The sequence below is a fragment of the Homo sapiens genome, chromosome 10 (genome assembly GCF_000001405.40).
Source record: "Homo sapiens chromosome 10, GRCh38.p14 Primary Assembly".
NCBI classification, from domain to species: domain Eukaryota; kingdom Metazoa; phylum Chordata; class Mammalia; order Primates; family Hominidae; genus Homo; species Homo sapiens.
In genome coordinates this window covers 112,149,808-112,173,888 of record NC_000010.11, presented here as the reverse complement: position 1 = coordinate 112,173,888, position 24,081 = coordinate 112,149,808, and the positions used below count along the sequence as shown (strand labels likewise).

At 38.7% G+C, this 24,081-nt stretch overlaps 1 protein-coding gene across 5 annotated transcripts in view; it reads left to right on the top strand.

Moving 5' to 3' along the window:
• Positions 1-24,024, top strand: part of GPAM (glycerol-3-phosphate acyltransferase, mitochondrial) — a 77,813-nt gene extending 53,789 nt beyond the window's left edge. For all 5 annotated transcript variants that reach the window (XM_047425564.1, XM_005269998.2, XM_024448089.2 and 2 more), the window contains 16 exons: positions 44-190; positions 823-919; positions 1,571-1,707; positions 4,937-5,036; positions 5,365-5,577; positions 7,374-7,487; positions 9,279-9,364; positions 10,073-10,188; positions 12,152-12,222; positions 13,021-13,285; positions 13,836-13,978; positions 15,496-15,573; positions 16,500-16,640; positions 17,836-18,025; positions 19,202-19,260; positions 20,223-24,024. In XM_047425564.1, the coding sequence (XP_047281520.1) occupies positions 44-190; positions 823-919; positions 1,571-1,707; positions 4,937-5,036; positions 5,365-5,577; positions 7,374-7,487; positions 9,279-9,364; positions 10,073-10,188; positions 12,152-12,222; positions 13,021-13,285; positions 13,836-13,978; positions 15,496-15,573; positions 16,500-16,640; positions 17,836-18,025; positions 19,202-19,260; positions 20,223-20,339 (2,074 nt within the window). In that variant the 3' untranslated portion in view covers positions 20,340-24,024. The remainder of the gene's footprint in view (positions 1-43; positions 191-822; positions 920-1,570; positions 1,708-4,936; positions 5,037-5,364; positions 5,578-7,373; positions 7,488-9,278; positions 9,365-10,072; positions 10,189-12,151; positions 12,223-13,020; positions 13,286-13,835; positions 13,979-15,495; positions 15,574-16,499; positions 16,641-17,835; positions 18,026-19,201; positions 19,261-20,222) is intronic.
• The last annotated feature ends 57 nt before the right edge of the window (positions 24,025-24,081 follow it).

Here is a 24,081-nt window from a genome sequence, read left to right as displayed (position 1 = left end):
TATAGAAACAATTACATTGTCTCTTTTTCCATTTTCATACCAGAGTACAAGAGGCAATTGCAGAAGTGGCTGCTGAATTAAACCCTGATGGTTCTGCCCAGCAGCAATCAAAAGCCGTTAACAAAGTGAAAAAGAAAGCTAAAAGGATTCTTCAAGAAATGGTTGCCACTGTCTCACCGGCAATGATCAGGTATTAAAAGGCAAGGCAGAAAGCTTTCAATCACAGCCATGCTGATTTGAGCAAATAAGACTGAATTATTGAACTTTCCTAGCACAGTTCTCTTTGTCCAAAAGATGTTTTAATGAATCCTGATATTAAATTAAACTCTTCTTATATTCTTATTCAGCTTTCGTGCAAAGTAGCACTGTGGTAGGCTTGAAGGTGCCTTCATATCTGTTAATTGATAGCAGCCAATGTATTACTACTAACATCTGCTCACCTAGACTGCTTGTGAATCAACTTTCACGTATCTGAGTCATAAAAGGAGTGGTTTGTGTACATCAGAGGGATCATTCTGCTCACTAAATATTCATTCGCCTTGGTCATTTGCTTCTGCAGTATAAAATGTTATTAGAGTGAACTATGACTGTAGTCTATAATAAATGGATACTTCTGTAAGTAGTATATATATATATAAAATTAGCTCTAGTTCAGCAATTCAGACATACGTGCATGCATGTGCACACACACTAAGTCATTTACAAGTACTTTGAGGTTGTAGGTCCATAAATTTAAGTAGACAGAAGTCAACTGTATGTGCTTGTATGTAAAAATAACGTGTGTTCATTTATGTTGTTTTTTTTGTTTGTACTTTGTTTCAGACTGACTGGGTGGGTGCTGCTAAAACTGTTCAACAGCTTCTTTTGGAACATTCAAATTCACAAAGGTCAACTTGAGATGGTTAAAGCTGCAACTGAGGCAAGAATTTCTGTGAATCTATTACCCCATTTTCCCCTCAATTGTAGAGTGGTTTTAGGGTTCTTGTGGAAATGTTTTCTTGTGTACTGTGATGTATTTCAACCCATTTGGAAGATTTCCCTCATTTATGATAACTTCAATAGCTGTGTATTTGGGGAGGAGAAATGAGATACAGGAGTACTTACTAGCAATATGCAGGATTCCTTTTGTAAGTTACCTTGCAACAACCCTGAAAATCTGGTAGAACAATCCCTATTTTGTAGATGAAGCAATAGAGACACAGATAGATAAATAGGTTGTCTCAAGTGGCAGATAATAAGTGACTTGCCCTGGATTTCAAATCAAACCAAGCCTGACTCCAAAACCTGTGCTCTTTTTATATCAGTGGAGCTGCTTCTCAGAAAGGGTATAGGTCAACTGGAACTCTTGATTGCTCTTCTTCCCCCAACTTATTTCTGTTGTTATAGTTGCTCTTTTTCTTTTTAGCTCAGAAAGTATTACATTGAAGGAAGTTCCTATTATTGGAAAATGTTTTTAAAGAGTGAGTCACTGATTAGCCAGTGTTTGAGTGACTCTAGCCAAATATGCAGTTGCAAAGTGTGATTGAATTTTACATTTGAGTTTTAAATTTGGCATTTTTCCCTTTGCTAGACGAATTTGCCGCTTCTGTTTCTACCAGTTCATAGATCCCATATTGACTATCTGCTGCTCACTTTCATTCTCTTCTGCCATAACATCAAAGCACCATACATTGCTTCAGGCAATAATCTCAACATCCCAATCTTCAGGTAAGATGAGCTTATTTTGGAATTTAAGGAATTAAAAAGATTATGTTTTGAATTTTAATTTTTTAAATTATAGCTTTCGATATGTTATTGTAAAGATGACATTAGCCTTTTTTCTTTTATTATAAAAGTGATACATAGTTATTGTGTAAAATTTGGAGAGTGCAAAAATGCATTAAGACTATCATCATTATTTATATATTTTATATGGGATACTTGGTGAACTGTGACTACCTAAACTTTATGGGCATTGTTTATCAAATAGATAAAAGGCAATTAGAAAGGCAAGATAGCAAATTACCATACCAGGCTCAGCAGTAGGGAGTTGTTTGGTGGAGGAGGGGGCAGTGAAGTGGGAGAAGGGTTAGTGATATAAAGACAACCATACCTGTTACTTTGACCTCATAATTTAGTAGAGCTAGAACCACTTAAAAAGTACAATATCATGTGAAAGGTATGTTTTAGAGGTTTTCACCTTTTGAAAGGTTTTTTAGAGGTTTTCCTCAATGCGTTCCATTCAGGGGAAATAGTATGTGCAAATGCGGAGAGATACAGGAGCATGGTATGGTTGGGAAGTGATGGACAATTGGGTAAGGTGGGAATATGGGATGCATTAGGAAGGATCAGAGACTGGAGGTGGTAGCTGTGTAGGTAGTGAAAGCTGGATCAAAACAATTTCTAAGCCAAGAGATTAGAGTCTGTCCTGTACTTGAGAAATGACATGTTCAGGTTTGTATTTTGAAAGGTCATTCTGGATTAGAAAGAATGAAATCAATTCTGCTTCCATTAGGATAGTTCAGGCAGAAGATAATGGAGGTTTAAATTGTAGTATTGTTTTTGGACAGGAGGGCATAGATTTAAAAAGTACTTAGTAGCTCGAATTTAAAGACCCAGTGCTAGTCCCTATGGGGGCTCAATAGAGGGGGAGAGGAAGGAGCAAGATTCCCAGGTGTTTACCACCTAGGAAACTGGGTAGGTGGTAGGTCTGATCACCAACAAAGAATTGGTGAGGAACTGGTTGAGCTGGTTTGGGAAATTAAAAGTTTCAAACCTGAAAGGACAAAGCATCTCTAAGGTCAGCTCTGTGGGTAGAGAGTGGATAAAAGGAGCATGAATTTAGAAAGAGACTGGAAGGAAAGTGGGCTGGCAGGTTGTGCAGGTGGAGCTTCACAAGATGGCCTTCGTCACCTTTGTGTGCTGTGTCCTCAGTATCACAGTCTAAGGAGCTCCTTCTTAATCCCTTGGTTCAGAGTTCTATAGGCTTTCAGAGTTCTGTAGCTAACCAGACTCTTGTGACCCAACTGAAGAGAAGCCATGGATTCATGCAGTCAGTGATATTTATCCAGCTGTGCTTTAGACAAGAGAGAACAAAATATATAGTCCTTGCCTTCACATAGCTTAATGGATAATGTAGACAGACAGCTAGCTGTAATAGCGTGTGATATGATTCTACAGGGTAGATGTGCTTTTCCAGGAATTAGAATATCTGTGTTTGCTCTCCAGGGGACCTCTCTCCAGGAACAAGGAACCGGGAAACTGAATTAGAAAGTCATCAGGAAGTTTCTGGTGGGCACAGACTTAGAGGGAAGAGGACTATTCCACTGGGGCTCTAGAGAAGCCTTGCTTCTCTTGTAATTAGAATATTTCCTATACCCATTTCCTTCACATTTGGTTCTCAATTAGGATTTCTTGGAACTGCTTAATAAACACTGATAATTTTTTGTAATCCAACTTCCCTTTCATGGACTCTATGCCAGTGACTGTGTAGCTCACCTGTCCTTCAGACACAGCAGGCTGTAGTTAGCCCAGCCTGTTTTTGTGCAGCTTTCTTTTGTTACATGACAGTCTACCCATTCACAAACCACTTCTCAGGTGTTATTTTTGTGGATGGCTCATCTCATTCATTTTATTCTGCAGAGTTTTACTCTCAAAGAGTGATACTAAGCTTTGGCAACACCTTACTGTGGCCTCCTTCTATTTACTGTAGAGCAGTGGTCCCCAACCTTTTTGGCATCAGGGACCAGTTTCATGGAAGACAATTTCCACAGACCATGGGGGTGGGGAGGATGGTTTTGGGATGATTCAAGCATGTTACATTTATTGTGCACTTTATTTCTATTATTATTACTTTGTAATATATAAAGAAATAATTATACAACTCATCATAATGTAGAATCACTAGACGGTCCCAACTGGGGGTGATAGGAGACAGTGACAGATCATCAGGCATTAGATTCTCATAAGGAATGCACAACCTAGATCCCTCATGGGCAGATGTGCAGTTCACAATAGGATTTGCGCTCCTATCCTATGAGAATCTAATGCTGTTGCTGATCTGACAGGAGGCGGAGCTCAGAGGGTAATGCAAGTGATGGGGAATGGCTGTAAATATAGATGAAGCTTTGCTTGCTTGCCTGCCACTCATCTCCTGCTGTGTGGCCCGGTTCCTAACAGGCCGGGGACCGGTATTGGTCCGTGGCCCCGGGGTTTGGGACCACTGCTGTAGAGGATACCAAAAATATATATTAATGTTTATGTTAGTATCACTCTACTTGAAAAGAATAGGAGGCTGTGAGTTTGGAAAGATTGACTTAGACAGTTTCAACTTCATATCAAAATTAGTGTTGTAGAAAGAGACATAGGGTTAGGAAAAGAATCGTTTTATGCCTGTGTATGTGCAAATGAAGCACATTTTTGTTTCATGTTTTGGAAAGATGGTTATGCTTGGTTTCAGTTGGATAAAATTGTTTTTGTCTCACAAGGATCCTCTGTAAACAATAATTATTTGAGAAAATTTCCCCCAAGGAGCTTTCGTAATAAACATCATATTCATTTTGTAGTAAACATGCCATGCGCAAATTTCAGAATGTCTAAGGGTCAGTGTCTTGAGACCCTGGGCAGGATTTTAAAATTTAGAAGTGTTCTATAATCCTCTTAAAATCTATACTATCATTTTTACGGGTAATATGTCATGCAAACTCCTTTTGGCTTGGAACAGATATAATAGAGGCTCATTATACACAGTGATATCCCAAAGACTGATGAACAATGTAAATGACTGAAACATGTCGATAATATGGAAAATGAAAAAAATGCCTGCATTTTTACTGTCAGCTGCTCAAACGGCACATATGGCTTGTATCCACTTGGCAAATGTTTTCAATTAACTTGGAATGTGAGTATTCTTTTTACATTTTTCTTTGTAAATAATTCATGTATTCTGAATTTATAGTACCTTGATCCATAAGCTTGGGGGCTTCTTCATACGACGAAGGCTCGATGAAACACCAGATGGACGGAAAGATGTTCTCTATAGAGCTTTGCTCCATGGGGTATGTGTGATCTCTAATTATCCTTAGGGACATTGTGTTGGTTATCACAGTGGAAGGAAAAATGACTCTTTTGAGTTGAGATTTTTAAAAACTGCTCTTTGAGTAACTGGAGTGATTATTGCTTGAGTTTGGTAATTTGTTGTTGTTGTTGTTGTTGTTATTACCAAAATATAGCATTGGAGGAGCTGTTTTATTAGTGTGAATAAGATACTTTGTCAGTAGTGAAGTTATCGTTTTTTCTGTTTTGCTTTTAAAGATTTAATTTTTCTGAGCTCATTCTAAGTTGAGTGGTCTTGAATGTATGTTTTACTTTCTTCTTATATCCCAGCATATAGTTGAATTACTTCGACAGCAGCAATTCTTGGAGATCTTCCTGGAAGGCACACGTTCTAGGAGTGGAAAAACCTCTTGTGCTCGGGCAGGACTTTTGTCAGTTGTGGTAGATACTCTGTCTACCAATGTCATCCCAGACATCTTGATAATACCTGTTGGAATCTCCTATGATCGCATTATCGAAGGTCACTACAATGGTGAACAACTGGTAAGGGTACCTACACAAAAGTTTTCTTTGCTTATCAAGTCTTTTAGATTTAACTTTTAGAATTTACATTTGCTTTTAGAATTAAGAATTTTTTTTGGTACTCCCTATGTTTAAAGCACTGTATGAAATGTGATTGGATGGGCATGGTGAGTAGCTTTCATGCCCTATCTTTAACTTGATTGGTAGTGCTTATGTGGTGTTTTCTTGAGCTTGGCAGAAGTGACCTGGTTAGATTTATCAGTGCCGACCTTGGTCATGGGATTGGGAAGTGGGAGAAGACTTGCCACCGTGTTGCCATCTCTGCTGTGGAAGGTTATCTGCGGTTTGTTCTCCCCAGGGCTTAATGAATATGTGCATATTTTAAATTGGGCTTGAAGAACTTGTGGGGTCATGTTGGCAAAAACACCTACAGATTAATTTGAGAGGTAGCAATGACTTTTTCAGTATACCTTTTTATTGAAGTATAATAGTTACAAAAGAGTATATAAATCATAGGCATGTAGCTTGAATTATCACAAAGTGAATACATCTATGCAACTAGCACCCAGATCAAGGAACAATATTACCAGGACCTTTGAAACCCTCCTTGTGCTTCTCCTATCATCATCCCCGCAAGGGTAATGATTAATTTCATTTCTTACAGACTGGGTTAGTTTTGCATATTTTTGCACTTACGTAAATTGGATAACATGTGGTCTGTACGCATCTGGTTTCCTTTGCTTAAGCAGGTGTTTGTGAGATTCATCCACATTGTTGCATGTAGTCTATTCCTTCTCATAGCTGTGTAGTATTCCAGTGTATGGTATACCATAATTTATTCTACTGTTAACAAAATGTTTGGCTGTAATCATTCTTGGATATTTTTTCTTGATGACCATATATATTCATTTTGTTGGGTATGTGCCTAGGAGAAGAACTGATGGGTCTTAAAAAATATGTATTTTCAGCTTTAGTAGGTACTGCCAACCACTTTATCAGAATGGTTTTACCAGCTTACCACTCCAGTCAGCAGTTAGAGTTCAAGAGGAATTTAGTTTTGTTCTTATTTATTGTGGAAATTTTGGCTGAGGTACTTATTTCAAGCTTACGGCTCCAGACATGTCAGAAATTCAAGGACGTCTGACAATCAGAGGCTTTAGAAATTAAGTGATAGGCTTACAAATTAAGTGATATGATCTGTATGACACTCTTCTCCTTGTGTTCTATGAATCTGTCCTTGATGTATACCCTACTCATCCTGACTGTGTCTCACGAGTTCATATCTGAGTCTGTGTCCGTTATATGTCCTGTCATTGTGCCTTATGTGTAATAGATACTAGGTATTTACTGAATGAATACTCAGCTCAAAGGCCACTGTAAGGCTGGATTTGCAATTACTTGCCTAATATTAGACATTTAGACTCTGGTGATCATCAGACCTCAGATAAATGGCCTCTTTGATGTTTTATTCTTGTTTAAGAACCACAGAAGTTTTCCAGGCTATGTCATTTTTTCCTTCATTAGTTTGCAATTGTATTTTTGTGAATTGTGTGAACATGATACTAAATGAAATAGTATTAAATGTTTTGTTTTTCATTGACTGAATTCCATCTCCCAATGACATGATTACATCTTTGAATACTAAACGTTTTCTGACAGGCCGCAGTTAATGATTACCTCCTTTCCTTCTTCATTCATTGTTCTTCTTCAAGATGAACTTACAGTTTCCATAAAACAAGTTATTCTGTGGATAATAGAATGTTTGTGTATGTGTTGGCTTTATTTCTCACCATGTTATTCTCACTATTGGAATTTAGGGCAAACCTAAGAAGAATGAGAGCCTGTGGAGTGTAGCAAGAGGTGTTATTAGAATGTTACGAAAAAACTATGGTTGTGTCCGAGTGGATTTTGCACAGCCATTTTCCTTAAAGGTGAGTGTCTGTTGAAATGAAACCATGTTGAAGCATCTACCTGGAGTCAGGAGGCTCCAGTGCTGACTCTTAACAGCACCTCTCTGTGTGACTTGGGGCTGCAGTTTGCTCTCCTGTAAAATGAGGACTATGATAAAGGTGGTGTTGCCTAAATTTTTCCACAAAATTTGCCTATTGACAAAGGAGAGTGAGTATCTGTTTTTGGGAGATATCAGGCTCGACATTTATTGCTATTATTATTTTTTTTTAATTCATGACCATCTAAGGGGAACAAAAAACAGGTAGAAGGAATAAGTTTTAGTATTTGATAGTACAGTAGGGAAATTATAGTTAGCAGTAATTTATTGTATATTTCAAAATAACTAAAAGAGAAGAATTGTAATATTCCCAACCCCCCACAAAAAGCTAAGTGTTTGAGGTGATGGTTATCCCAATTACCCTGATTTTATCATTACACATTGTATATAGATATCAAAATATCACATGTACCCCAAAATATGTACAAGTATTATATATCAATTAACCCCAAAAGTCAAAAAAATTTTGAGATGGATGAATGAATAAATGAATAAATAATTGTAAAAAAATAAAAATTCATGGGAATCTTGCATGTGCCTTTATAATACGTATTTATATCTTATGTTTCAAAATTGCCTTTAGGGGAAATTTTTCCAAACACCTCCCCTAAAAGCTGGGTAACTTTTTTTTTGAGACGGAGTTTCATGTTCTTGTAGCCCAGGCTGGAGTGCAGTGGCGAAATCTCAGCTCACTGCAACCTCTGCCCCCTAGGTTCAAGCAATTCTCCTGCGTCAGCCTCCTAAGTAGCTGGGATTACAGGTGCCCGCTACCACACCTGGCTAATTTTTGTATTTTTAGTAGAGACGGGGTTTCACCATGTTGGCCAGGCTGGCCTCAAACTTCTGACCTCAGGTGATCTGCCCGCCTCCTCATCTGCCTCCCAAAGTGCTGGGATTACAGGTGTGAGCCACTTCGGGCAGCCAAAGCTGGGTGAATTTGACAGGATAATGCTCTCTATGTCCTATTGTGTAGAATCCAGTACCCACACATCCCAAAGGATAGTGCCATCCTCATTGAAAGTCTGGGACTGGCAGGTCCCTGAGGCCCTTGCTGGTTTAAATTCTTAAGGTATTCAAATTGTAAAGGAGAAGGAGAAAAATGGGTACAGAAGTAGGGAGCCCAGGGATAAGGAGCAGAAGGTCCCGCCTCTCCTTTTATTCTACTTCCTGGCTTAACTTTAAGAGATTCCAGCTGCTGTGGTAGATGCTTGCTAACCTTAAATGCTTTGATCTTTTAGAACCTTATCATTTCTTGCCACTTTCTTTCTCTTTATTTTTTAAATGGTCACATAGCTTCTCTGTCTTGTTATGATTTGCTTTTAGATTGAGGTTCTTTTGAAAATAATGTGACCCTTGGGTTGCCAGATTTTTTTAAGTATGATTATGTCTATCATCACTATTAATGATATTAAGAATGTCAGTTTTATGATGATGTGTGAGAAAAGTTAAAAATTTCTTTTAATTTTAAAATGATTTTGTTTAAGCATCCTATTCTTTGTGTCTTCAGTGTTCAAGTTCAGTTTCATGCTTAGCAGCATTCTGTGAATCATTCTGGACTTCTGAAGACAGTTTAGGATATAGAAAGTATTTCCCATGCTCTATAGCATGGCTTATTTCATAAACAACTCCCTTTTAACCTTTGGAAGATGAAATTACATTTTATATGTTGGTGCGAAAGTGAGGGTAAATGATCATGTTGTGTTTTTTTCTCCAGGAATATTTAGAAAGCCAAAGTCAGAAACCGGTGTCTGCTCTACTTTCCCTGGAGCAAGCGTTGTTACCAGCTATACTTCCTTCAAGGTAAAATTTGTAGAATTGTTTAATGCTAATCAAGCTACCAAACATCTGTTATTTCTTGTATTGCATAGATTAACCTTATTAAAAATGCGCACATTCTTATTTTCACTTCTTAAGTAACTTTTCTCTTAGTCCAATAAGGGATATTGAGATGACATGTTTTCATATTAGTTTGGAAGTTTTTAATTATTTGCTTATAACTTTTTGATTTTGTGACTCATATAGGAGTTCTTAATTGATTTATGCTTTTTGAATGCTTGAACTGAGTTTTTTTGGTAGTAGGTTATGCATATTGTATGTAAGTGAACCATATGAAAGAATTTTGCTGTTTGAATTTTTCGGAATTCAAATTGAATTCAAATTGAATTTTAACTTAGAGAAATTGAATATGAAGCCTTTCCTTTAATATGTGGAAGTGTTGAATTTTCAGAAATGTTTTAAAATAAGGCATCTTGAATTATGTATTCTTTCTGCCAGTGGTTTTGGAAGTGGTGTATCAACAGACTATTTAGTCATAACTAAATAACATGTTTTGGCCAGGCCATAATGTAGTATATTATGGAGGAAAATAAGCCATAGAAATAATCTGTTTGTGGTTTAAATTTAAAATATATAGTAATTTAAAGTATCTAATTCATTTAAAGATCAGTTCCACATGGTTTGCCTTGTAAAAGAGTGCGGTTGTGTGTTGATTTTTGAAACACTTTTTAGACCCAGTGATGCTGCTGATGAAGGTAGAGACACGTCCATTAATGAGTCCAGAAATGCAACAGATGAATCCCTACGAAGGAGGTTGATTGCAAATCTGGCTGAGCATATTCTATTCAGTAAGTAGAATACCAGACTCTTTAATTCTACAATTTAGATTCATCATGGTATGGTGCAAACTATACAGATTTTGGAATCTGCTGAGGTTAGTTTCCACTTCTATTAATTCACAGGTGGTGATAGGTAAGTTATTAGAAAGAAGGTGATACCGTGAGGATTTGAGATAATTGGAGTTAAACATCTTATACAGTGTCTGGTAATTAGTAGGTGTTCATGTGGTAGTTGTTGTACTTTTTAAAAATAGTTATTATTAAAATGATTTGTTGCCTCTGTTGCTCATTAATGTGTTTTATTTGAACTACTTGAACTAATTTGTGGTACAACGTCTAGATTTATAGTTGCATGTCCATTTCTCCTTTGACCCCATGAGTTTTTGTAATGCAGCAAATATGAGTGGCCTTGTATAAAGCTTTGCCTTAGCCGTGGAGAATACAAAATGAATAATTAATGGTTCTGAACTCAATGAGCTTATGTTCTTGTCAGTGGGATGGTTATACACAAATAATTAAAGTGAACCTAGAGAGGAGAGGAGTGTGAGTTCACTGCAGGACCAGTCTTCTTTAAGTTCCAAGCTGTACAATTGTGTACTGTTGTGGAGGCTGCTTTAAAATCCCAAGGCAGCACAGTGGTTCTTTGGTGCTCAGCCTAGTTGTGATTTCTTTCTTGCTGCTCTCTGGGCCAGGACCCTGATGATACTCTCCGCACCCCCTGCCAATGCTACTGGGGAGGTCTTCCTCCCTCACCTTGCTCCTCCCATTCTGGAGGCCCCTATTCCTGCTTGACTTTGGGTCAGAGGATTCTTTCTCAAGCACATTTGATTATGTCTCTATCCTGCTTAAAATCTGGATACAAAAAATAATACCTTATTGTTAAAAAGTTTGAAAATAAAGATGAAATAGACAGCAAAAACCCATTACCCAAATAACCAGTGGTGTTGCTGTGTAGTCTCTAAAAATATTTTTTACAGTTTTGTATTGTGCAGCTTTCCATTTATAACACAATATTCATATTTAAAAATTCTTTATAAATATTTTTAATAGCTATACATATAGTACTGAGTACTTTTTTTTAACACTGGAGACGACTTCAGTTACCAGTGGTGAATGAAGTATTCTTAAATTTATTGTTATCTTAGAAAACTCACAAATGTTATCGTGATTTAAGATTATTCCATGGGTGTTCTCAGATTTGATTTATATAATTATAATTTTATGCAAATTCAGTGTAGGGGTGTGCACTGTAGTCATTCTCAAATGTGTGTCTGTGCCCTTCCTTCTTACCTCTGGGTCAGGTTGAAAGAGGAAATACAAATATGCTGAGCACCCATTACTGTGGCTCCTGTGCCGGGCCAGTCATTTTATTCTCATGTGGTCTAATGAGCTAGGTAGGATTTTCATTTTATCAGCAAGGAAGGTGAGGCCAGGAATTTAAGTAATTTGCCCCAAGTCATGAAGTTAGTTAGTGAGTAAATTAGGATTTGAGCCCAGATTTTTCTGACTTCAAGTCAGCTGTTATCCTTCTACTACACCTTCGTTTTAATATGGTGAATACCAGCAAGAAGAGTGAAGTAGAGTTGTAGTTATAATAGACTGTAGGTGGGAGCAAGTAAAGGAATATGGAAATGGGAGATCCCGTAGAACTAAAACAGCCTTGTACTTTGGGTCTTGATATTTCAATAAAAGTGTCTCTTCGTCATTCAGTAACTAAATTCCACTGGCCTGGATTGAAGTTGGACCTGTCTTACTTAGCCTGTTGTATGATGAATAGTGATCTCTAATGAGGTTCCATTATACCAGAACACTGTAGTATTATAACTTCCTTTTGGTAAATCACACTTATGGGAAATGTGATAGAAGACTTTCACAGTTTTAAATACTCCTGTTTAAAATTTAGGTATTTCAAAAAAGTTCAGCTATGTTTGTAAAAAGTGCAACTAAAAAAAGCTTTGTGTTTGCCTTCCAGCTGCTAGCAAGTCCTGTGCCATTATGTCCACACACATTGTGGCTTGCCTGCTCCTCTACAGACACAGGCAGGTATGTCTGCAATGTCACCTGCAGTTAAGTAGGAAGCAGGAGAATGTTTTGTCAGCTGCTCAGATACATACTCAGGGGCAGATTTGGCCCACTCATGGCTAGTACTATGAGGTAAACAGTAAAATAAGCTGAGGACCCTGCCCAAAGGAGCTTATCAACTTGGTGGAGGAAGAATCTACATTTAAAAACAAAACAAAACAGACTGCTTAATATATATAGTACTAAGCTATTGCTTGATTAATACTGTTAATGTAAATAAGGTCTAACTCATTAACATGTGGTATATATTCTGAAAGCAAATGCTTTCCAAATGAATTGACTGGCATTTTAGAACCCACCCTTTATCCTCCCAAAATACATTTGTCTGAGCTTTATGATGGAAGAGACCACACCAGTCTTGTTCAGTCATATTCTCAACACCAAACAGTGCCAATATATATAGGCACCAAATAAATATTTGCCAGATAAATATTTAAAATGAAGGAAATTTTGCTAAAAAATAAGCACTCCTTACTTGCAGATGGCTTTTTTCCTCCCCCTTGTGATCTTATGTGTGCATATCATGTGTCATGGCTAGAGTGTTCACTAGCATGTGTAATACCTTGACATTCCTGGAGGACCAGCTTTTTAAGTAGTTTTCTGACTCGCTCTGCATTGGTGTTCTGGCCCTACTTCTCTATGTGCTAGCAGTGAGCTGCAGGAAAGCCAAGGCAAGAAGAAAGTCTTGGAATGTTGGCCTCTCAGCTTTTTGGAAAGTAGGTTTTCCACCATCATGATACCGTTTCCATCTTTCTTTAGGGAATTGATCTCTCCACATTGGTCGAAGACTTCTTTGTGATGAAAGAGGAAGTCCTGGCTCGTGATTTTGACCTGGGGTTCTCAGGAAATTCAGAAGATGTAGTAATGCATGCCATACAGCTGCTGGGAAATTGTGTCACAATCACCCACACTAGCAGGAACGATGAGTTTTTTATCACCCCCAGCACAACTGTCCCATCAGTCTTCGAACTCAACTTCTACAGCAATGGGGTACTTCATGTCTTTATCATGGAGGCCATCATAGGTATGTCAGACCTTGAAATATTTTCAGTAATTTTCATGGAAAATAAAAAGGCCTAAAACACATAGTGGTATCTGCTTTAATTTGGGTGATAGCCCCTTGCTTGAGGGAATGTGGCTATAATTTTAGTTTTCAAACGAAAATGTAATCTCCTGTTATATCACTGTTTACAATGAGTAGTTACTGAATTACCGTTTGTATAGCATTACCCTTATTTTTCAGGAGAGGTAGAGTGTCTTGCTATCCAGGAGCTGAAAATCTAACTGAGATGAGACATACACAGAGCAGCAAAGTGAGTGGAGGGCCTCATTTGTGATTAAGAGAAAAGAGAGGAAGGAGAGAAGAGGGGGCTTATGTCTTTGGAGAAGGTTTTTGATGCAGTTGGGATCATATGGAATCATAAGAATTTAGTCTTATGGGATTTACTTAAATTTCTCCAAATACAGGCCATTATTTTTGATGTATTAATAATCTCTTAAGGTTATTCAAGCCAGTTGAAGTTTTTCTTGGAGACTTTGAGCTGGCAACTTCATTGTTGCTTTTCTTTTCTTAGCTTGCAGCCTTTATGCAGTTCTGAACAAGAGGGGACTGGGGGGTCCCACTAGCACCCCACCTAACCTGATCAGCCAGGAGCAGCTGGTGCGGAAGGCGGCCAGCCTGTGCTACCTTCTCTCCAATGAAGGCACCATCTCACTGGTGAGTGAAGACCCTTCAGTGTTGCCTGGTCTCTTTTCTTGAGCGTTTTCATGAAAACGTAACCCCCCGTGTTTTTCTGTTAGATAATGTTTGACCCATTGTTGATACTTTATATTCCACTCCTGGATTTCAGTGACCACCAAACCAATATGTCATTTACTATCTTGGTTTGCTCTCTGGGTCACTGCTCCACTGAATCTATCCTGCAGCTATGAGCCATGATAGGACAGATTGCTCAATGTTCTCAGGCAGTCACATCCAAAGCTAGTGAGCACGTATTGTGTGTGAGGCACTGGGTCAGTGGTTTGTAAATAATTAACACACCCACCTGTAGATGATGGAACCACAGATGGTAAGAGTCAGAAGCAGCCTTAAAAATCATCTGCTCGGCCAGGTGCGGTGGCTCACGCCTGTAATCTCAGCACTTTGGGAGGCTGAGGCGGGCAGATCACGAGGTCAGGAGATCGAGACCATCCTGGCTAACGTGGAGAAACCCCGTCTCTACTAAAAATACAAAAAAAAATTAGCCAGGTGTAGTAGCACCTGCCTGTAGTCCCAGCTACTTTGGAGGCTGAGGCAGGAGGATCACTTGAACCTGGGAGGCGGAGGATGCAGTGAGCTGAGATTGCGCCACTGTTCTCCAGCCTGAGTGACAGAGCGAGACTCCATCTCAAAAAAAAAAAAAAAAAAAAAAGAAAATCATCTGCTCAACACCTCTCAATTTACAAATGAGGAAAACCAAGCCCAGCAGTACTAATGAGCATTTATATTATATACCCAAACACTTTTAGGCATTTATCATGAGACATATGTATTAAGTAGTAGATTTCCTTCTTCTCAAAGTCATCAACATGTAGAATTCATATTTTATTTGAATTCCGATATTTTCTTTTGTATGAATGTGTCTTGAGATGTTGACGAGATGAGTGCATGTGTTAGGAGTACCGCCCCCTCCATGCCATGCTTTGTGTGAGGTGTGCTCGTGGTCCTGTTGGGGAATCTGTTTTGCATGAACCTTGGGTGGTGGGATGGAAGGGATGAGGGCAGATAAGACTTCCAAGATTGACCTTGTCCTTTCTCTGGTATTTATTTACTTATTCCAATGTTGCCTTTCCTCAATCACCACTTTTGTGTACAGTATTTATTATAAGATAACTATTGCAGAGAAATTGTCTTATAAAGTAAAAGAAATAGATGGTGGGGGGCTGATAAGCAGTCTTCAGAGGGCTTTCCACACTGTGGGTGTGGGGAGAGAATTGAGCTCAGGAGTACCCCTTGCAGGTGGTGCAGTGTTGGGTGCTCTGCCAACTTTAAGTGACAGAGGTCTTTTCTTGGGCTTTGTCCATGACCGTGTGTGTATCAAGACAGTGGGCACTGGGAATCACAGGACTTGCTCAGTGGGGTGATGGAGGTAACAGAATGGAAGGCTTTGGCAGCTACCTTGTACCATGTTTTCTGCGTTTAAAAAAAGAAGTATAAAATGGTGGCATTTATATTTAAATGAATTTTCTTTTCAGCCTTGCCAGACATTTTACCAAGTCTGCCATGAAACAGTAGGAAAGTTTATCCAGTATGGCATTCTTACAGTGGCAGAGGTAAGAGGTAGAGCTTTCCTTTATTTGTCTTTATACTTACTCTTCATTCCCTTACCTTTTCTACAACTTATTTAAACCAATAATTGGCCAGGCATGGTGGCATGTGCCTGTAATCCCAGCACTTTGGGAGGTGAAGGCGGGTGGATCACCTGAGGTCAGGAGTACGAGAGCAGCCTGGCCAACATGGCACAACCCTGTCTTTCCTAAAAATACAAAAATTAGCTGGGCATGGTGGCACACACCTGTAATCCCAGCTACTTGGGAGGCTGAGGCACAAGAATCGGAGTGGTGGAGGTTTCAGTGAGCCAAGATCATGTCAGTGCACTCCAGCCTGGGTGACAGAGTGAGACTCAGTCTCATAAATAAGTAAACAAACCAATAATTACATTTGGTATATAGTCATGTTCAGATGTAGAGAAGCAAAAAATAAGAATGGGGAGAATAAGTGTCCTTTGGGATTATTTAATATTTTGGTTCCTATTTGTAAGTTGTGTTGTCTAAAACATATCCTGACTTGATTCCGTGACATCCAGAAGTTTGTATGCTAAGTTGAGACGTTACACCTATCAGTATGCTTGCAGCTTGCACATCTGCAGTTTTCATTTTTGAGATTCTATTTTAATTTTGGTAGATTTAGTGTAGAGGAGATGGCCTGGAAAAGTACATATCAATTTAGAACATGTGGGGGTACTTTTATTTGATCTTTCTTTCTGGTAGCTCTCCCCTCCCACCTGCCCTTTCTTTTGTCTCCTGCTGTCTCCTGACTGAGTTTGAGTTTGGAAGGGAAGTGGACTGACATTATGAGTGGCTAAACAGAGAAGAGCCAGGAAGGGTCAGAGAAGAGGACTGCCTTGTCCTGGCTCCACTGGGCAGTTGTTTGTGTGCCAGTGCATATTTATTTACTATCCATCATCTCCTTGGCCTAGCACGATGACCAGGAAGATATCAGTCCTAGTCTTGCTGAGCAGCAGTGGGACAAGAAGCTTCCAGAACCTTTGTCTTGGAGAAGTGATGAAGAAGATGAAGACAGTGACTTTGGGGAGGAACAGCGAGATTGCTACCTGAAGGTACTTGGGTGAAGAATTCTGGTGGATATTACAGGGATATGTTGAGGTTTATGCTGCAGTGAGATCAGCTGGAGTCCTGGTGATGTCTTCTTATCTAAAGAATCCCCCAACTAGCTCTGGTACCTTCTGTGTGGTAAAGACACTCAAACTGTTTGAGTTGAATTAATAGCATTTTAAGTAGAAAAGGAAAGGAGAGTCTGAAAAGTCAGGAAGATGAATGTCATAGGTGAGACTTTCACCATCCTTTTATGAAATACACAGGTGCATACCTGTTTACCTACACCTGCACCCCTCATGAGGCAGCAGTTTTGCTATTGAGCTGCCACTGACCTGGCTGCTCTTTTTGAGTCACTCTTGCTGTCCCTCCCAAAATTTCATATATTAAGCTCTTTGCTGTCAATTAAAACAAATACCATTATAGGAGAAAATTGAGATTAAAAAAAAAGTCCCTGATTTAGAAAAATCAATTTTGTCTAATTTATAATTTTAGAACTTAGTAATAATGACCCGTCTTTTCTGAATACTCTAAGAGGATTACTCTTTTTTGACATTTAGAAATTGTCTTCTTTTTCACTTGGGTGGTATTAGTTTAGTTTCAAGATGGGGCAGTGATCTTGCTTTCACACTCCAGAGGGGCTTGACCGAACCAGTGTGTTTTGGGTAGGTACAGTGAGAGCCTCTCGGCCATAAAGCACCGCCGTCACAGTGGCCATCATTCCCCACAGTGCTGGACTGTGGGCAAAGGCCATTTAGGGGAGGCAGGGAATAGGTGCTGCAGAAGGAGTGAGATAATCTTGGTGGTCTCCCATTGGTCTTTCTGCAGACTTGAGTGACTGTTGAGCCCAGGCTTCAAACCATGGAGGGCCTGGTCTTAGGAGCGGCTATTTTTAGTGATGACAGCGTATCACAAGTAGGGCATTCATTTATGAAAATTTCTTCTAGGTGGCTGTTCAATGAACACAAGCCTCAAATACCATAAAAAAGTGAATGATTACAATAAAGAATGTGTTTGAAAGCCAGCAGTTGTTTCCAGCAGAGATTCTCTGCATGAGGGGCAGGGGGCCGCTTTCATGTAGTGCTGATGTGAGTGGCCATCTTCTCACGTTACTGGCTCTCCAGAGAAAGTCCTCTGTCCACTTGCCTTGTGTCTCTTGTCCCTTCCTCATGACTTCATCTCCTGCTTTTGCACACTCAGGTGAGCCAATCCAAGGAGCACCAGCAGTTTATCACCTTCTTACAGAGACTCCTTGGGCCTTTGCTGGAGGCCTACAGCTCTGCTGCCATCTTTGTTCACAACTTCAGTGGTCCTGTTCCAGAACCTGAGTATCTGCAAAAGTTGCACAAATACCTAATAACCAGAACAGAAAGAAATGTTGCAGTATATGGTATGTTAAGTCACTATTTATTCTTTTAAAATCTTTTTTTTTTTTTTGGATTTCAGAAATTTGCTAATTGTAGAAAATTGGAAAAATGCAAACTTATCCTGACCTCTAACACCGTAGAGTATTACTATTATCTTCTTTGGCATGTTATATAAGTTGAATGATACAGTTATACACTCTTACATCTGGCTTTTTTCACGTAACGTTATTTTTGAGATTCATACATGTTGCATATAGTTGTTCCTTTGTTCTTGTTGTGTAGTGTTCCATTGTATAAATATTTACCACATTTTATTCATTCTGCTGTTGATGGATATTTGGGTTGTTTTCAGTTCACAGCTGCTTTGAACAGTGTTGCTATGAGCATATTTGAATATGTCTTTTGGTGAATATCTGTGCCCCTATATACAGCATGTATGTGGGAACAGAATTGCCTGGTTGTAGGCTCTGGGTATATTCGGCTTTGGTAGATACCACCAAACAGTTTCCAAGGGATTATACCTACTTGTACTCCCACAACAGTGTGTGTTTCACTTGCTGCACATCTTGGCCAGCGCTCCGTCTTCTTTGTTTTAGGAGGTGTGATTGGGGTGGGAGTACTATTTTATACAGTTGTAGTTTGGAGCTGAAACTACTTGAATCACTTTTTAGAGCCAAAAGGAATCTAATCTAATCACCTCATTTTATAGTTGAGGAAAATACCCCAGGTCACACTGCTAATTAATGGGTAATCTCGGGATCAGAATTCTTGTTTCCTAACCTCGAGGCCTGTGCTTTCTCTGGTTCCACTGATGTACAATCATCTGTGTACCACTGGGTAGCTTAAAGAATATTTATACACTATCTCATTTGATTCTCACAACAGTCCTGGAAAATGGATGTTTTAGGTATTTCTACTTCCCTCTGTTCTCCCTATTTCTCTCTCTACACCCTCTTTTCTTTCCCCTTCCCTTTCTTATTTACCTCAATATAGGACAAAGTAGGTGTAAGCAAAGTAGGTTTAACAGCAAGTCATCTGAGAACTCACAGGTTGCCAGTGGTGGAAGTGGGGCCCCACCCTTGTCTGCTGACTTGCCCTCATTCTCTTCCTAGCTCCCCATACTTTCTTACTGTGGCTGCTGGGATTGTCATGATTTGTTGAGCGTAACCATTTGACAGGGTTTTATTCTCTCTCTTCAGCTGAGAGTGCCACATATTGTCTTGTGAAGAATGCTGTGAAAATGTTTAAGGATATTGGGGTAGGTGTCCACCATTTATGGTATAAAAGCTATCTCAACTTCTGTTCTCTTTAGATCTAGTCTGTTTGAGCTACCTTTGTGGTGGGGTGGACCCCGAGAGAAGCAGTTTCTGCTGGCTTAATGATAAAGGCATTTTTGGGAACGGGGCATGTAGGATGGGTTGGGCTATGTTGAAGGTGAAGCCCATCAGTGTAGATTTATTTGAATGTTCTGGAATTTTACTGGTTTCACATTTATTCCCAAGCTGCTATATATAACTGGTATCAATATGTTTCAAGGTGCTACAGGTTGAATATCCCTTATCCAAAATGTTGGGACCAGAAATGTTTTGGATTTCAGATTTTTTTGGGATTTTGGAATATGTGCATTAGACTTACAGGTTGAGCGTCTCTAATCCAAAACCCAAAATGCTCTGATGAGCATGTCTTTTGAGCATCATATTGATGTTCAAAATCTTTCAGATTTTGGAGTACTTCAGATTTTTGATTTTGGGATTAGGACCACAATCTTGGCTCTTAATTATTCCATATGATTTTTAGTTACTTTCTTGTATTTTTACAAGAATTTCTAGAAGTATCCTCAGGTGTCCTTTACCTTCATGATTCATGGGGAATGTAAGTTCTATAGAGATACTAGCGGCCTTTTGTGAGGGACTGTTTGTGACTTTATTCTAAGTCATTTTAGAGTATAGTTATGTTGGTTGAAATTTTAGAATATAGTTAATGTTGGTTGAACTCCATCAAAACAAAAAAAAAAAAATAGAAAAAGAAAACCTTGTTTGCATTGGAAACTCCCACCTCATGCTCACACACACCCAGGCATACATTTACTTAATGCCAGGATATGGTTTTTTGTGCCTTTACTGCCTTCTGAGGTCTAGGACACCACAGGTCAGGTTGGTAATGGAAATTTTTTTTATTTTTTATTTTTTGCCTTTAATTTAATCTAAACCTTTTCTTTAGGTTTTCAAGGAGACCAAACAAAAGAGAGTGTCTGTTTTAGAACTGAGCAGCACTTTTCTACCTCAATGCAACCGACAAAAACTTCTAGAATATATTCTGAGTTTTGTGGTGCTGTAGGTAACGTGTGGCACTGCTGGCAAATGAAGGTCATGAGATGAGTTCCTTGTAGGTACCAGCTTCTGGCTCAAGAGTTGAAGGTGCCATCGCAGGGTCAGGCCTGCCCTGTCCCGAAGTGATCTCCTGGAAGACAAGTGCCTTCTCCCTCCATGGATCTGTGATCTTCCCAGCTCTGCATCAACACAGCAGCCTGCAGATAACACTTGGGGGGACCTCAGCCTCTATTCGCAACTCATAATCCGTAGACTACAAGATGAAATCTCAATAAATTATTTTTGAGTTTATTAAAGATTGACATTTTAAGTACAACTTTTAAGGACTAATTACTGTGATGGACACAGAAATGTAGCTGTGTTCTGGAACTGAATCTTACATGGTATACTTAGTGCTGCTGGGTAATTTGTTGGTATATTATCTGGTTAGTGGTTAATGCTTCCTTTAAAAATAATTGAGTCATCCATTCACTCTTTTTCAGTTTTATCTGTCAATAGTAGCTACATTTTTAATGGGAGCACCTTTTATCCCAAAGTGCTTTATAAATTGAGTGGACTGATATATATCACACCCAGGTATCACTGTGCTGTCCTTTGCTGTCAGATTTAGAAATGTTTTTAAGAGCTATGTGAAAACAGACAATATTAGTTTAGGTCGGGAACTGAGATATTGTAATCAAATAGTTAACATCAGGAAGTTAATTTGGCTGGCAAAATTCTAGGGAAACTTGGCCAGAAAACTGGTGTTGAAGGCTTTTGCTCATATAAACAAGTGCCATTGAGTTTCAAATGACCAGCAAATATATTTAGAACCCTTCCTGTTTTATGTCTGTACCTCGTCCACCCCTCAGGTAATACCTGCCTCTCACAGGTACAGCTGTTTCTTGGAAATCCTCCAACCAAATAGCAGTTTTCCTAACTTGATTAGCTTGAGCTGACAGACTGTTAGAATACAGTTCTCTGGCCACAGCTGATGAGGGCTTTCTGTACTGCACACAGATTGTGTACTGCACCCCAGTCCAGGTGACTGGTACCCACTCGAGTTGTGCCGTGCACAACCTGTCCAGTATATGCATGTGGTGGCCCTACTGACTGGTAATGGTTAGAGGCATTTATGGATTTTTAGCTTTGAGGAAAAACCATGACTTTTAACAAATTTTTATGGGTTATATGCCTAAACCCTTATGCCACATAGTGGTAAATAATTATGAAAAATGGTCTGTTCATAATTGGTAGGTGCCTTTTGTGAGCAGGGAGCATAATTATTGGTTTATTATGGTAATTATGGTGATTTTTTAAATATCATGTAATGTTAAAACGTTTTCTAACAGTTTACTGTTGCTTATCTCCAAGATATTATGGAATTAAGAATTTTTCCAGATGAGTGTTACATAGATTCTTTGAATTTAGTATAAAAGTACTGAGAATTAAGTTTGTACTTCCATAAGCTTGGATTTTAAACACTGATAGTATCTCATGAGTAATGTGTGTTTTGGGAGAGGGAGGGATGCTGATTGATATTTCACATTGTATGAAATACCATGTTTGAAACTCATAGCAATAATGCTATGCTGTTGTGATCCCTCTCAAGTTCTGCATTTAAAATATATTTTTTCTTTATAGGAATTGATGTATACCATGAAGTCATTGTCAGTTGTAGTAGCTCTGATGTTGAATGAGATATCATGTTTTAGCATTCCATTTTACTGACTAGGGTAGAAGAACACTTTTCTTGGCTACATTTGGAGGATACCCAGGGAGTCTTGGGTGTTCCTTATCTGGGGAAGCAAACATTTCACTAGTCTCTTTTTTTCATCCTTTAAATTGTAAATTAAGGATTACTCAAGCTCACCATTATTCAAGATTGGGACTCGCTTCCCAGTCGACACTCTGCCCTGCCTGTCATTGCTGCAAAGAGCTGCTGCTTTGCCAACCTAAGCAAAGAAAATACGGCTTCTCTTGCATTATTTTCCCTTTTGGTTGGTTTGTTTTCTAGAAGTACGTTCAGATGCTTTGGGGAATGCAATGTATGATTTGCTAGCTCTCTCACCACTTAACTCACTGTGAGGATAAATATGCATGCTTTTTGTAATTAACTGGTGCTTTGAAAATCTTTTTTAAGGGAGAAAAATCTCAACCAAAGTTATGCTCATCCAGACAAGCTGACCTTTGAGTTAATTTCAGCACAACTCATTCTTCAGTGCCTCATGACTGAAAACAAAAAACAAAAAAACGAAAGCATCTTCACAATGAAGCTTCCAGATAGCACCGTTTTGCTAAAAGATACATTCTCATTGTTTTCCAACAGTGATGGCTTCCACATAAGGTTAAACAAACTAGGTGCTTGTAAATAATTTATTACAGTTTACTCTATCGCATTTCTGTAACATGAAATGCATGCCCTTCTTCAGGGGAAGACTGTGGTCAAGTTAAAAAAAAAAAACAATATTAAACAACATGAAACTGCAGTCTGTTTTTGAAAATGAGAATGTCCTAAGTGATTCAGAAGAGAGGAGGGAAGTTGTGCACTCTGAAAATGCATGAAAAACAAAGGCAAAAACTAGTGGGAAATGTGTAGAACTGTTAACTGAGATGGCTTCGAGTCTTCCTTCTGGAATCTGTTAAATTTCACAAAGTCATGAGGGTAAATGGAGAAAATATTTCTGGGATTACAATGAATGTAAGCCCAAATTGTGGAATTGCCAGTAACCTGGATGGGGAAAAGCATTTCCCATAGCACTCCATGTAATATGAGTGCTCTGTGAGATGTTCATCAGTGTTTTATAGAAATGGTGTTGCTGGGAAACCAAGTTTGCACCTGGAAACTTACAATGCACTTTAGCGCAGTAAGGGCTTGGCATCCGGTAGTGAAAAACTGTCTAACCCAGCATTGCCCAAACTATTTTGACACCAGGACCTTTTTCTCCTTTGGGATACTTATGAACCTCTCACTAATGTCCTGTGGAGAACATTTTGGGAAACACTATGTTAGATAGTTCTTTAAGGAGACAAAACGGTAATGAACAGATAGCACTGGGGCAGAATATGCATGCATTTTGTAACGTCCAGTGTGGCGTTGAATAGATGTGTATTTCCTCCCCTGCAGAAAATAAGCACAGAAAATTATAATGTAGGTGATCGGAGCTCTTTCCTTTGATAGAGAGAACAGCCCCAATGATCCTGGCTTTTTCACTGAACGTATCAGAATACATGGATGAATTGGGGTAAATAAGGTTTTAATTCAGATCTAGAAGAAAGTATTGTACGTTTGAATGCAGATTTTTATCCACAGATAGTTGTAGTGTTTAGACATGACAGGACCTATCGTTGAGGTTTCTAAGACTTACTATGGGCTGTAAACCTGTTTTTTAAAACTATTTTAGAAACCTGAGACTTGCCGTCTGGCATTTTAGTTTAATACAAACTAATGATTGCATTTGAAAGAGATTCTTGACCTTATTTCTAAACGTCTAGAGCTCTGAAATGTCTTGATGGAAGGTATTAAACTATTTGCCTGTTGTACAAAGAAATGTTAAGACTCGTGAAAAGAATTACTATAAGGTACTGTGAAATAACTGCGATTTTGTGAGCAAAACATACTTGGAAATGCTGATTGATTTTTATGCTTGTTAGTGTATTGCAAGAAACACAGAAAATGTAGTTTTGTTTTAATAAACCAAAAATTGAACATACTCTTGATGTGTTTGATTTGTATTTAAAACAGTTTCCTACATAATTCATTATACGAA